At 34.8% G+C, this 14,331-nt stretch overlaps 1 protein-coding gene across 11 annotated transcripts in view; it reads left to right on the top strand.

Annotated features, from left to right (window-relative positions):
- BARD1 (BRCA1 associated RING domain 1) overlaps nucleotides 1-14,331 on the top strand; it is an 84,038-nt gene that overhangs the window by 11,072 nt on the left and 58,635 nt on the right. For 4 of the 11 annotated variants that reach the window (NR_104216.2, NM_001282549.2, NM_000465.4 and 1 more), the window contains exons 2-3: nucleotides 1,495-1,551; nucleotides 6,167-6,315. The exons of 2 other annotated variants lie outside the window; for them this stretch is intronic. Coding sequence is in view for 7 of the 9 variants with exons in the window: in NM_001282549.2 (NP_001269478.1) it covers nucleotides 1,495-1,551; nucleotides 6,167-6,315 (206 nt within the window). In the remaining 2 variants the exon portion in view is untranslated. Of the gene's footprint in view, nucleotides 1-1,494; nucleotides 1,552-5,386; nucleotides 5,486-6,166; nucleotides 6,316-14,331 lie in introns of all 11 variants that reach the window. 5 more of the 11 variants (XM_017004613.2, XM_017004614.2, NR_104212.2 and 2 more) reach the window with 3 other exon arrangements.

Genomic DNA, 14,331 nt, shown 5'->3' with positions numbered 1-14,331 from the left:
GATAGGGAATCCAAGGTGCTAGGAAACTGAATGGACTTCTTTCAAGGTAGAGAGCAACCTGAAGGTGGAGGTTTGGCCAGGGCGATGTAATAAAAGAGGTAAAGGAAGGATATTATGATAGGAGGAGCTTGCCACGAAATAGAATTCAGTACACTTGATGGGGAAAAGGAGGTTAGGTTTGCTAGGTCAAATAACAAAAATTATAGACACAGTATGAATGTTAAAAGAGATCATGTTTATTGGCAGAGTCACAAGTCATATTTTTATCTGTACGTTTTACATACTGTGATACAAAAATCAGACATGGTGAGTTTTTAAAAAGTAATAGGTTTTGTAACGTCAGTGAGCACCATTTTCAGTATCTTGAGAATAACATTGTGGGTGTGTACTGTTTTTCGCAATCTTTCTGAAAATCTCAATTTCACTTGAATGTTCATATCTATTAAGATGTGCAGTGTGATACTTTCAATCTTTCAAGAAATGTGAAGAATTGTTTTTATTGATACGTGGTATGTGTACAGAGGTAATTTAATAATAATGGTGTAAATATCTAAAGGTTTTAGAGTTAGTATAATAAACCAAGCAGAAAAAGTGCTCATCATTTAAAAGGCTTTACTTCTCTGGGTACATTACATCCATTGAGTATAATGTCTTGGTGTGTATTTATTAGTATCATTACTTTGTTAGGATTAACAAATGTAGCAGGTATTTTGATGGACAGTATTAGAAATATTTTGTTTCTGTGTCTCTTTGCTCACTCACTGCAGGGAACTTCATTCTATCTGCAGACACACTGCTAATCTGATGATTTCTGTTTACATTTGCTTAAAGAACAATTAACTTTCTGTGAACTGAAAGAATGGCTGCATTTTTCACAATATATCTGTGAAAAATTGATGGCTACTTTACAGTAGTAAGAAACACATGTTTTTTTTAATTGGGAAACCTTGGATTCTTACGGTCAAAATGACTAGATATCCTGGTTTGTCTGGGGCAGTCCTGGTTTATTCCTGTTGTCCCAGCATCCTATTCAATTATCACTCCTCTTCACTCTCAGAAGTTTTCTCATTTGGATGATACGTTATATGGTCATTCTACGTGTGGGACACATTTTGAGGTATATGGTCTACACTTTGAATCATAAGGGGAAGATACACCTTAGTAGTTGAAAGAAGCAGCCAGTAGTTGGTTTTGCCTTAAGAGGTTTAGAGATACTTGAACAAAATTGTTCCTTTCTCCAACTTTCTAGAAAATACATTTTAAAATGTATTACAACTTGTACCCAGTTTGGTGGTTACTATTTAAAATCATCAGGTATGTTATGGTACAATATTTAACCAGGGAGTAACAGCCTTTCAAATGAATGCATCCTTAATACCTTCTGCTTTGAGAAAGTGAGAAATATGGTAGTGTTGGGCCTTGGATGAAATATTGGGTGTGAGATGTTTATCTAACAATGACTCAAATCTTGATTGTTTTAATTTCTTCAAACAGTACTAACATTCTGAGAGAGCCTGTGTGTTTAGGAGGATGTGAGCACATCTTCTGTAGGTAAGTAATTACGGTTTGATGTATATAGTACAACTGTATTTTTTACTAGATAACAATCATGTAATCTTGTTGATAATAATGGTACTTGATGTTTGTGTAACTTTCAAAGTCTGCAAAGTAACCTATTGTACATTATCTTAGTTTGATCTTTAAAACTGTGTCTTAATTTACAAATAAGAAAACCAAAGCTCAAAGAGGATGACTTGTCCAAGTTACAAAGCTTAGTAGACAGCTTTGCCAAATTGGAGGAAAAAAATTAATGCCTTTTATATAATTCAAATAGATGTTTTTAAATTTTCCAGTTAAATTTTGAATCTAGACTCAAAATTGTGAAAGTATAGGTCTTACAGTTATTATATTAGTTTCCTAAGGCTGCCATAACAAAGAACCAAAAACTGGGTGGCTTAGAACAACAGAAATGTATTGTCTCTCTAGTTCTGTAGGCTAGGAGTCTAAGATCAAGATGATGACAGGGTTGGTTCCTTCTGTGGGCTGTGAGGGAGAATCTGCTCCTTGCCTTTCCCCTAGCAATCTTTGCTGTTCCTTGACTTGGAGATGTATCACTCTGGTCTTTGCTTTCATGTACACCTGGCATTCTTCCTTGAGTGCTTGCTTCTCTCTGTGTCAAATTTCCTCTTTTCATACGAATACCACTTATATTAAGGGCTCACCCTAATGTTCTCATCTTAACTTGATCGTCTAGAGCCTCTTTTTCCAAATTAGGTCACATTCACAGTAACTGAGGGGTGAAGACTCAAACATCTTTTTGGGGGACACAATTCAGTGCATAACAGTTATTGTGAAATTATATCCATGTGATGGCCCTGGCTTACAGGTCAGAAGATTAGATTTTTATCTCTTATTTCTTGTTCAGGAGAAATCAGTTGAGAGATTAAGTGTCTTAGTTTAATTGCCTATGAGACAGGGAAAATATAGTCTCCTTTGAATTAATCTTTTAATTATTTCCAGTTATGAGTATGTTACTGTCTGACATGAACAAATACATTCGGAAATTTGAGCATATATGAAAATAACCTTGTGTATTACTTCAAGGGCTAAGGTTGTCTGGGAGGCAGCTATGTTTTGGGTCCCAATTTTGTTCCTGGAAAAACAGATCTGTTATACGAGGGATATCCAGCAGGAGGATGGGGGGTAGGAGATGGAACCTGTTGCCTACCAGATACGTCTGTTTGGATGATGAAAGAAAAGGCATTTTAAAGTTGGTGTGTTCAGAGCTGACCTCTTGATCATCCTCCTCTTCAGCCTTTTCCTGCCTGGGTAATCTTCATCACAGTAAATGGTACCAGTTACTGCTAGGTTGCTTATCCCACATCGCTAAGTTCTGTCAGTTCTGCCTCAAAATGTGTCCTGAATCTTGAATTTTTCCACCTTTTTTCTGAATTTTCTACAGTTTATAGTTTGTTCCAAGCCATCATTGTATTATCTCTGCTCATACTATTGTGATAGGTTCATAGCTGGTCTTCCCTTTTTGGCATCATCACCCCTTCCTCATTTTCTACATTCTTGACAGTGATCTTTGAAAAATCACGATAATATCCATATCATTACCCTGCTTAAACTCTTTAGTGGGTTCCTATTGCAGTTAAAATAAAATCCAAGCTCTGCCCTCTGGTCTGCAAAACCCTGTATGGGACCTAGAACCTGTCTTCCTCTTGGACGTCATTTACCTCTGGCTCACACTGTTCCAGCACTTCTCCTTTTAGCTCATTCAATACACCAAATTCACTCCCGCCCCAGGACTTTGGCACTTGCTATTTCTTCCACGTGAAATGTACTTATGCCAGATTTCTGTGAGGCTTACTTTTTACCAGTTATATATCAGCTGAAATGTCACTGCCTCCAAAACGCCTCCCATGGATCTGCTTACGAAATGATGCCCACTCCCTGTCCCCACTCTGTAGCAAGCAGATGTATTTTGTTTCAGCTGACAGATGATGGGTTTGCTCACTGTATACAATAGGTCAGTCACAAAGCTGCTAGAGCATAATGAACTCCATGACATTTTATGCAAAGTTGGTTTGTGTGTGTGGTGGGGTGGGGGATCCATACGTTTAATCAGATTCTAAAGGACTCTGTGACTTAAAACAACCAATCAAAGGTTTGAGACACGAGAACATCTTAAAAGAGAAAATGATTATGTGTATATGACATGAACGTAGGAAAGAATTCATTCAGTGCAGTTTTGATTTGTTTTGATTATATGATGCCAAAAATTATGGTAGCTGTTTTTATTCATGCAGATTTTGAGTTAAAACTGCTCAGCAATGAGGTTTTAAAATGATTTGACATAGCTCAGTTCAACTGATAAAGGTAATTCATCTACTCTCTAAGATACAATTTAAGACATGTGGCAGGGGTGCTCAAACATTTTGAGCATTCTTCAGAATTGAGAACCATAAAGAGCTTTTGTGTGTTCATGCATTTACCGTACAAAACTGAGACTTTTTAAAAAAATTAATTTAAAAATAATAAACCCATTAATACAAACACAAATAACACTTTGTAAGGAAAAATAACAATTTTAACAAATCAAAGAAAAAAATAGAGTGGCACTGTTGTACATTTTTGCAAATCTCTGTCTTGCTGAATGGAAAACAGCTACATTCTCAACTTATATATTCAGTCTATTGTGATACTTTTTTGATTGAAGAAAATCTGGCTTTATACATAATTGTAGTTGGAAGAAGTATTGAAGTATTTTCAGTAGCTTTTTTAGATAATTGTGGCTATTCTTCTTTAATACTACACCAAAACTTGACAAGTGCTTTTTTATTTTTATTTTTTTGTGAAGACAAGAGTCTCACTCTGTCACCCAGGCTGGAGTGCAGTGGCGCGATCATGGCTCACTACAGCCTCAACTTCTTGGCTTGGGTGATCATCCAATCTCACTTTCTGAGTAGCTGAGACTACAGGTGCACCCCACCACGCCTGGCTAATTTTTGTAGTTTTTTGTAGAGACAAGGTTTTGCCATGTTGCCCATGATGGTCTTGAACTCCTGGGCTCAAGCGATTCTCTTGTCTCGGCCTCCCAAAGTGCTGAGATTACAGGAATGAATCACCATGCCTGGCCAACAAGTGCTGTTTTCTTTAGGTTCATCACAGTGTGGAATCTGAAACTATATCAATAAATTTTTATACTCTGTTACATGAAATTTCATTGGTTTATCTAGTACTTTGAATTTATCTGTTACTCAGCATGATTTTATGACATCACACACGGGTCATTTGAGAAATACTCACTGAGCTATACAGGTCCACCGAAAAATGACATTTTTTTCAGAATTCCAAATTAATGTATATAAAATAATTTGGGAATAGTTTATAAAATGTTATAGAAATATAAAATACTAGTCTGATCTGAGTACTAGTGCAGTGCTGGACAAGTAACTTAAATAACTGGATCTCATTTTCTTCATCCAAAAATGAGGTGGTAGTTCTTGATGAGTTGATTTCAGATTGTATTTTACTGATAATTAAGTATTGCACAAATGATTTAAATTGCATGAGTAATCAGTTTTACATATTTTTTTGTGTTGGGGTTCCAAGTTAGAGTTCTTAACTACTAGCAAACAAATGTACAGAAGATCCTTTGCTAAAGAAAGTTGACATTTATTGACCCCAGTGACATTTTTTGAATTAGATGGTCCCAAAAGTCTCTTCCAGCTCTGGTATGGGTTACAGATTCATTTTACAATTTTTTTTGAGTTACATTCTGTCAGAAATCATGCTAGAAGCCAAGGATACAAGAATTAGAAATGGCATAGGTTTTGTTTGAGGATAGTTCATATTGAGTAAGAATCCTCTCTGCCTACAGAGGATTGGGTCCTGTGACAAGGAATGTCCTGTGGTGCTTGGGGAAGATGTGGCTTTTCAACTGTTACATTACTTACTCAGTCCTACTGGAACCCATCTGGTGAGGCCAATGAAGGAGGAGATTTATAGAATTCTTATTCTGGAATTCACAGATGGGCTTGTGGGGGGGATCGTGAATCCCTCTTTTTACATGAGTATGTATAGATTTTCATCAGATTTGCAAAAGGTCTATAAACCCCAAAATTAGAAAAACTCTTCTAACTCTGAAACTTTAGTCCTTAGATAACCCAGGTAATTGAGTCTACAGGTTTTAAAATTGTCTGAAAAAGTCAAAGATCTTTTCCCAAAAGCTACTTTAAAGCCTTGAGATACTAGTCCCAAAACAAAACAGAAGGTCTTTCCCAGTGTCTGCAGTAGTTTTGGGTATTTTCATGCAATGTTAAGATAGAAAAAGTTAGGATGCACGACTACTATGCATTAGGCATTCTATCTTTCTGTTACATCTCTGTAACCTTTAGAAGCTACAGATTTATTTGTAGGGAAAATTATGCAGACTAATAATCAGGCTAAGTAAAGTCTCTTCATAGCAAATTACATGAGCAACCTTAGATTTGATGTATGTATTTTACTCTTTAAAACAGTATTCAACAAGGATATTACAATTGACCATTGTATGTTAGAATAACCTCTGCTCCATTTATTTCTGTTCAAACTGTTTAGTTTTTGGAATTAAATTCTGCTGAATGGGTTGCTTTTTTTTTTTTTTTTAATTATTTTAAAGTAATTGTGTAAGTGACTGCATTGGAACTGGATGTCCAGTGTGTTACACCCCGGCCTGGATACAAGACTTGAAGATAAATAGACAACTGGACAGCATGATTCAACTTTGTAGTAAGCTTCGAAATTTGCTACATGACAATGAGCTGTCAGGTAAGAACTATCCCTATCTCTCTTAGTTAAATTCATCAGTTAAAAACTGATGAATTCATATTCATAAAGTATATAAAACATCTATCTGGAGTTCTGGAATACGTATTTCAGATTTTAAAATCTGTAGGTTTTTTTTTTTTTTTTTTAAATAGCCATTGAGTCTCTCTATGTTGTCCAAGCCGGACTTGAACTCCTGCACTCAAGGGATTCCCCCCACCTCAGCCTCCCTGGTACATGCATGTGACACACCCGGTGGTTTTTTGGAAGATCATTTTGAGAAATGACGGGAACCATAGAGATAATTAAAGTCTAACCCCCTTATTTTATAGTTGAGAAATCAAGGTCCAGAGAGGTGAAATAACCTTGCCTACAGCCGCATGTGTAGTTAGTACTAGAAGCTGGAGAAATAAAGCCCATTTCTGACTGTAAATCCAGGAACTTTTTTGCTGCTTTACATTGCCTGCTTTTTACATTTATGATAACTTCTGCAGAATATATATGGAATAGTGATTTTGGCCTTAATAGCACTTAACTCACTTAAATACACTTTCCCAAGATAGAATACGACATTTTTCCATGGATCACTTTTCTAGACTGAATTAATTAGATGAGCACATTTTGAAAGAGCAGAAATCTAATATTCATTTTCTTTTCTATTTAAGTGGGGGTTAACGTTTTTTAAATTGTCCTTAGACTCTGTGTATTAACTGTGTATCTTTCCATTGTGCTTTCTGCTGAGAACTAATTAACTGTGGAAAGAAAGTAAAATGTTTTGTATCTTCATAATTGGATATTAGAGTTGTCTTTTTATTGACCAGATCATGCTATTTTAGTGTGTGTTTGTAGAAGAACGTGTTCTTGACTGGCAGGATGCCATGGATGATTGATAATGCTCATATAAAATTGTTAGATTTCTATTTTTAAATCTTTTGTTCTTAGAATCCTGCCATGATGTCTTATTGTCAGCTAAAGATGAAGTTGATTATACAAAATAAATAAATGTGGCAAAAACTTTGAGTCTTACCACAGGTCCATATTTTTAAGAATTAGAACTTAAATCACTTTATACCTATTAAAATTTTCCTTCAGCTAGTTATCTGCGTCATTGTATTCAACTCCATTCTTTTATGATAAAATGTGCTGTAGTGCAGAAGTTTTTCTTACTTTCAGATGTAACTATACACACACATTTTTAAAAGTTGCCGTTTTTTAAAAATGATATTGTAGTTGTAAACCTTTTTAAGAACACACTGAAGAAAAATTCTGTCATTAGTTCATCTGAACTCTTCTTATTTAAAGACAGTACTGACAATGTTTATTTTCTAGTTAAAAGAGATTGGTGTGTGATCTACCTTTCTCTCCCCACATAGATACCGAGGGTCAGTGCAGGGGTTCTTAATCAAGGGCCCATGCACCTTTGGCAGTGTTCAGAGTTGAAGTGGGTAAGGGATCAGTGAGCTTCTTGAGTTAATTGTGCAGTATGAAAACTGTTCATGTTTGTGTGAAAGTGACTTTTGTTAGATTCTTAGGAGTGTGTGGTCTGTTAGGATTATTGGCTTTGCACTGAAATTTGGAGTGCTACTTTGGGATTTGTGGCTATGATGATATTTTGATTTGGTTCTTCACCAGTTGCTGTATAGTAATGTATTCATTTGCTAGAACTGCTGTAACAAAGTATCACAAACTGAGTGGCTTAAACAACAGATATTTATTGTCTCACAATTCCAGACACTGGAAGTCTGAGATGAAAGTGTATGCAAGGTTGGTTCTTTGTTGAGGTCTGTGAGACAGAACCTGTTTTAGGCCAGTCTCCTTGTCTTGTAGATGGCCATCATTATGTTAACATGGTTTTCTCCTTGTTTGTGTCAAATCTCCCCCTTTTTAAAGGACAGGAGTCATATTGCGTTGGGAGTCCACCCTACTCCAGTATCGCTTCATTTTAGCTAGTTACATCTGCAATGACCTTATTTCCAAGTAAAGTCACATTCTAAGTTACTGGGGGGTTAGGACCTCAACATGTGAATTTTGGTGGGGGAGGAACACAATTTATAACAATATAACATTTTTAATGATGATAAATGGAGAGCAGGGTAACCCTTGATGGATTTACCGTTGTCAGTTATGGCATACCATAGGGGTGCAAAAAAGAGTAAGATAGACTCCTTTCCAGAAATTTTATTCTAGCTAGTGATGTTTGAATCATTTATATTTTGAGGACTATGGAATATGAAATGCTTTCTTCATATTTCATCATTAAAGATATTTAGGAAAATTGAGTTTAGAACAAGTTTCTGAGGCCTTTAAGAATGCGGTCTTTCTCATCTAAGTAGAGTTGGAGATTGGAGAGATAATTCTACTGATTAATTTCCCAAAGGCCATTTTATGTTTGTTTTCCTTATTATAATTAGGAATAATTATTTTAGTCCTTACCAGACTTAAGCACTGCGCCCTCAACGTTACTTATATTAAACTGAGTTGAAGTTCCCTGTTTAGATAACACATAATCAGAAATTTAGGAACACGAAGGTCATCTTTAATCCCGTTATTCTGTAGGTAAGGAAACTGAGGACCCAGGCTACACAGGGCAGTTGTGTTGTAAATTTCTTACTGTTTTTCTATTTTACACAACTTTTTGGTTCGAAGTGTAGGTATTCATTATGTTTGTTGAATTGAGTTGGATAAAAATTGGCAGTGCTAATTTATATGCTAGAGACTAAACTTAATTAAAATTATTTATTTATTTATTTTGAGACAGACAGTGTCTTGCTCTGTTGCCCAGGATGGAGTGCATTGGGGCCATCATGGCTCACTGAAGCCTTGAACTCCTGGGTTCAAGAGATCCTCCCACTTCAGCCTCCCAAGTAGCTACGACTACAGGCACTCACCACCACATACCCTGCCAATTAATTTTTTTTTTTTTTAGAAGAGATAGGGTGATAGGGTCTTGCTGTGTTGCCCAGGCTGGTCCTGAACTCCTGGCTTAAATGATTCTCCCACCTCGACCTCCCAAAGTGCTGGGATTTACAGGCATGAGCTAATTGTGCCTGACCTAATTAAAATAATTTTAAAATACATTCTTAGAATTTGGTTTAAATAATTTCATTTCATAATGATAACATCTATGCATTCATAGACCTTCTTAAAAAATTATAATGGTAGTATCTTTCTTTGCTACTTTGATAGGAAATGACAATAAATTTAGAGTATAAACATACTGAATTATAACCTTCTGTCCAGATCTCTAAATTCCATGGTGTAGAGCTTTTTCTACTTTAATATAAGTTGTATAGACCCCCAACTTTTCATCCCAAATTCTTCCCAAAACAAACTAGCCTTGAAGGGCATTTGAGATTTTTTTCTGGAACATTTCCCTTTGTTTCTTTATAGTTTGTCTATTCAGTGTATTTTACGCAGTACCTTTGTGGTAATTGATTATCTAGTAAGTACTTCTAGAACTAAAAGGTTAGAAGGTAAACTATATACCAGGAACTGATAGTTGGGGACAAATGACAGTTGGTCTTCTTTATAATAGTAAGGAGATTGGAAAATGATCTCATTAGGATAAGGGTATTAGATTAAGTGATTCCTAAGCTGTCTCTCCAAAATTGTATGATTCTGTTAAATGGTCATGTGTAGAAGATGATGAATTAAGTGGAATGGTGAACATCTCTCACATTTTCTCTTTTAAAAACCCTGTAGTTCACAATTTATCTTTCAAATGAACCTTGTTACTTGCATTTACTATAATATATATAATTACTGTAATTAAGGTGGGCAATTAGGAAGAACTTGTCAAATCATGGACATAGTGTATGGTATACTGGAGATAAAGAAGCCTAATTTGTAGTAATACTTTCTAAAATGAGCTTCTAAATACTTGAACAGATTTTTCTTGGTTCAGTGTACTTTAAAGAGGAGATTGTCAAATTTTGCTGACAACCATTTATGGATAATTTTACCTTATCCTTTATAACATGATCTTCTTTTTACTAATGGAGTTAAATTTAAAAGTTTTTATTTTCTCTTCAACCCTATCATATTAAGTCAGACCTTGCAGGTGCTGGTCAGGTTCTGTGAAACATGTCGGTGTTGGTGACATTAAAAAAAAAATACTTTGATTATGCTTTTATAGTATTACAATTTCCTTTTCTATTTTCTGCTTTAGAGAGAGATGCTCGTCTTTCTGTAACGATTACATAGTGTTTCATATATGCTATGACTTTTTTATAATAGAGGAAGATGAATGTTTGAATAGCTGTGTTGCTGTTGTTTTTCTTAAATAGTACTAAATGCTTCCTAGCTTACAAAATAATCATTCTTCAGTGAAGGCGTTAATGTTGCACAGATGGTAGCAAAGGACTTTCCTTTGATTTTTAATAAGGGACTGGTTCGTCAAAGAGATTTCTCAACTTCTGTTGTGAAACCTATAATAGAGAATAACTTGAAAGGCACACAGTGTACATGATTATAATCCTTTGATGTAGATTAATGATAGCTAAATCACATTTTCTAATTGCCTCTTTTTTCTATAGTTGATTATTAAATTGTAAGAAAAAACTTGGCCAAGCAGCTCCTTAGTAACACATGCATCTCTGTTACTCAATATTTTGTGATGTACTCTGAAATTCAGAGAATGGAATTCTTTTAAATATTATCATTAAGGAATTTTCTGTGCAGAGGAAGGACCAGTATTTTTCTTCATGAAATGAATATGTTGATTTATCATGCTGAGAAGCATTCACCCATAAAAATTGTTGGTAGCTGTTAATAATGTGATTTATGTTCCAGCAATAGTGTTTTGCTTTTTACAGTTTTATCTTAGAATATTATCTTAGATATTCAGAATATCTAATAAAATTCAGAATATACAGTCATCTTTGTTGTGCTCCTTGCTTAGTTATGCAAGATACATAATTAAAATCTTTTGAGTAAAGTTATTATTACCAGATGAATAGTAAAATTGTGTTCATATCAATTACATTGAGTATATTATCTTCATTTACTCATTTATAAGGTAGGAAATATGTACACCTGAGTATGAAATTTCTTCTTTTTATATTGAGGTTTTTTAGTCAGTTGAGTATGTTGCTGCTATATATAAGCCTTAATTTTCCTTTAAAAGCTCAATTCTACATTTTTAAAGTTTTTCAAAAATTGAGAACCTCAGGGTTTGAACATGGTTTTAATTGAAAATGTCATCTGTGTTTAAAATAATTAAAAAAAAATCAAATACAAGTTATTACAGACTATCAGAGGATTAACCTTTATGACTTTGTAATCCTGAGTCTTTCTTGAAAAGTAATCCTGGTAACATTTCATTTTGACCTTTCCTATAGACTTGAGATTATATCAGAAGTGACTTGGTTTTGAAATCTACTTACCACTGCAAAGAAAATACCTTGTTGAATCTAGACATAAAGTCTCTATGTGAATGGATACGTCATTCTGATACTTTCCAAGATCCTGTCTTAATAACACTTTGTGGACCAGGTCATGTTCAGCTATGATATTTAAAAGTTTATGTAGGAGAATCTGCCCTTATTCATATACATACTCCTGCCTTCAGTAGGTTTATCATTTTACTGTCTTTTCAGTGTAGTGCTTCCATTTCATCTGCAGGAAGTGATGGTACACTTTGGAGTAGAAAATCTTTACTCTTTTGCTAGAGAGGGACCATGTCTGAAATTTCTAGAGTTAAGTACTAATTATTTTATTTTTCAAAGCCTGTTTCCCATTTCTTCTTACCTGTTTAAGGTTCTTTTACCAGGTAAATATATTTTTGAAGATAGGACTTTTGTACTCAAGAAATATGAGGTGAAAGAATAGGCAGAAGAAGCAATTTTGAACTTGAAAGAATTGAGATGATCATTAACAATCTTCTGGTGTATTAATAATTTTAAGCTGGTAAAACAATAAAACAAGCTGTTCTATGTGGATAAAAAATGACTAAAAGGAAATAAAAAATAATAGATGATGTACTTTTCTTTTGCTAATAAAGACATGAGAATGTTGAAAAGAAATTTATTCCCCAAAACGTAAGAAAATGAAAATAATGTTGTATCTCTTAAGTATTAAAAGTTCTCAGTAATAATCACCATTTGAAAATGTTATTGAACACCTTGTAACATCAGATGTTTATTTCCTATATGGTAGATGTTATATCCCTTAGGAATAAGACTAGTGGCCACTGGTTTTCTTCTTAAAGTACCTTAGGTTTAGAACTCCATTCCATTAAAAGTTTTCTTTGGTTCTGTAATGTAGGTAAAGTTTTATGCAGAGTTCTTTTCGATTTGAATGAAGAGTGACTTAAGGAGGAAAACAAAATTTGGGTAGTTTCTTTTTCTCTCTTTTTCTCTGTCTCTCTCTCTCTTCTCTTTCTTTTTAAAATAGGAATAACAAAACATATTGTAAGAAGCCTGGTTGGTCAGAGGAGATTGTCTGTGTTAATTAGGAGAATGTTTGTCAGGCAGCATGAAATCATTTGTTAATTACTGTTTTTAATCTTATCAGATTATTGTTATTTTTCCAACTTTCCTCCGTTTCTAATGTTCTTCTTTTTCTTTCTTTCTTTCTTTTTTTTTCTGGGCCTGAAATTACCTTTTGCTAATCCAGTTTGTGTGGAGAGATAGAGTGCCAGATTGGGAGTTAGGGGACTCCTTCCTTCTTTTTGTTTTAACTTTAGTCCTTCATTGTTAAAATGAAAGAATTAGACTAAATTATTTTCAAGTTTTCTTCTAGCTCTTAAAATTAATTCTAACATCTCTTACGTAAACATTTGGAAAGATTTAAGAGATATCAAATAATTTATTCACTAGTACTTACTGAGTACTGTCTATTCATGTGCTCACCACTGTGCTGGGCTGAGCTGGGTTGATTTTACCTATGTTGTCATGGGGTGGGAGAGAATTTTAAGGCAATTTTTTTTTCTTGAAGAAAATGAATATCCCAAAGACAAAAACAACATAAGACAACTTGAAGGTAGTTGATCGTCAAAATCAGAAAAGTGGATGACTTGTATGATTTGTCAATGAAGAAAAACTTTTCCTCTACACTCTTAGGTTCATTGTATGGAGGCCTGTGAATTAAACTGTAAAACAATTAGCAAGAGAAAAAATAGATTTTTATTTATGAATATACTTGTGAGTTCACAGAAAAATGTGACTCTCCAAACAGGTAAAAATGGGAGTTTATAAACCTAAATTAAGGGGAAGAGGTAGAGGGAAGAAAAGGCTTCTATGGAAAGAACAAATGGCTTTCTTTCTTTTTTTTTTTTTTAACTATAATTTCTGGGATACATGTGCAGAACATGCAGGTTTGTTACATAGGTTTACACATGCCGTGGTGGTTTGCTGCACCCATCAACCTGTCATGTACATTAGGTATTTCTCCTAATGCTATCCCTCCCCTGACCCCGCTCCATCGGACAGGCCCCGGTGTGTGATGTTCCCCTCCCTCTGTCCATGTGTTCTCATTGTTCACCTCCCACTTATGAGTGAGAACATGCAGTGTTGGGTTTTCTGTTCCTGTGTTAGTTTGCTGAGAATGATGGTTTCCAGCTTCATCCATGTCCCTGCAAAGTACATGAACTCATTCTTTTTATGGGTGTATAGTATTCCATGGTGTATATGTGCCACATTTTCTTTATCCAGTCTGTCATTGATGGGCATTTGGGTTGGTTCCAAGTCTTTGCTATTGTGAACAGTGCTACAATAAACATACATGTGCATGTGTCTTTATAGTAGAATGATTTATAATCCTTTGGGTATATACCCAGTAATGAGATTGCTGGGTCAAATGGTATTTCTGGTCCTAGATCCTTGAGGAATTGCCACACTGTCTTCCACAATGGTTGAACTAATTTACACCCCCACCAACAGTGTAAATGTGTTTCTATTTCTCCACATCCTCTCCAGCATCTGTTGTTTCCATGACTTTTTAATGATCGCCATTCTAACTGGCGTGAGATGATATCTCATTGTGGTTTTGATTTGCATTTGTCTAATGATGATGATGAGC

Source organism: Homo sapiens, chromosome 2, assembly GCF_000001405.40.
Source record: "Homo sapiens chromosome 2, GRCh38.p14 Primary Assembly".
Taxonomy (NCBI): domain Eukaryota; kingdom Metazoa; phylum Chordata; class Mammalia; order Primates; family Hominidae; genus Homo; species Homo sapiens.
Note: the sequence above shows the minus strand (reverse complement) of the source record. Positions and strands in the feature narration are given on the sequence as shown.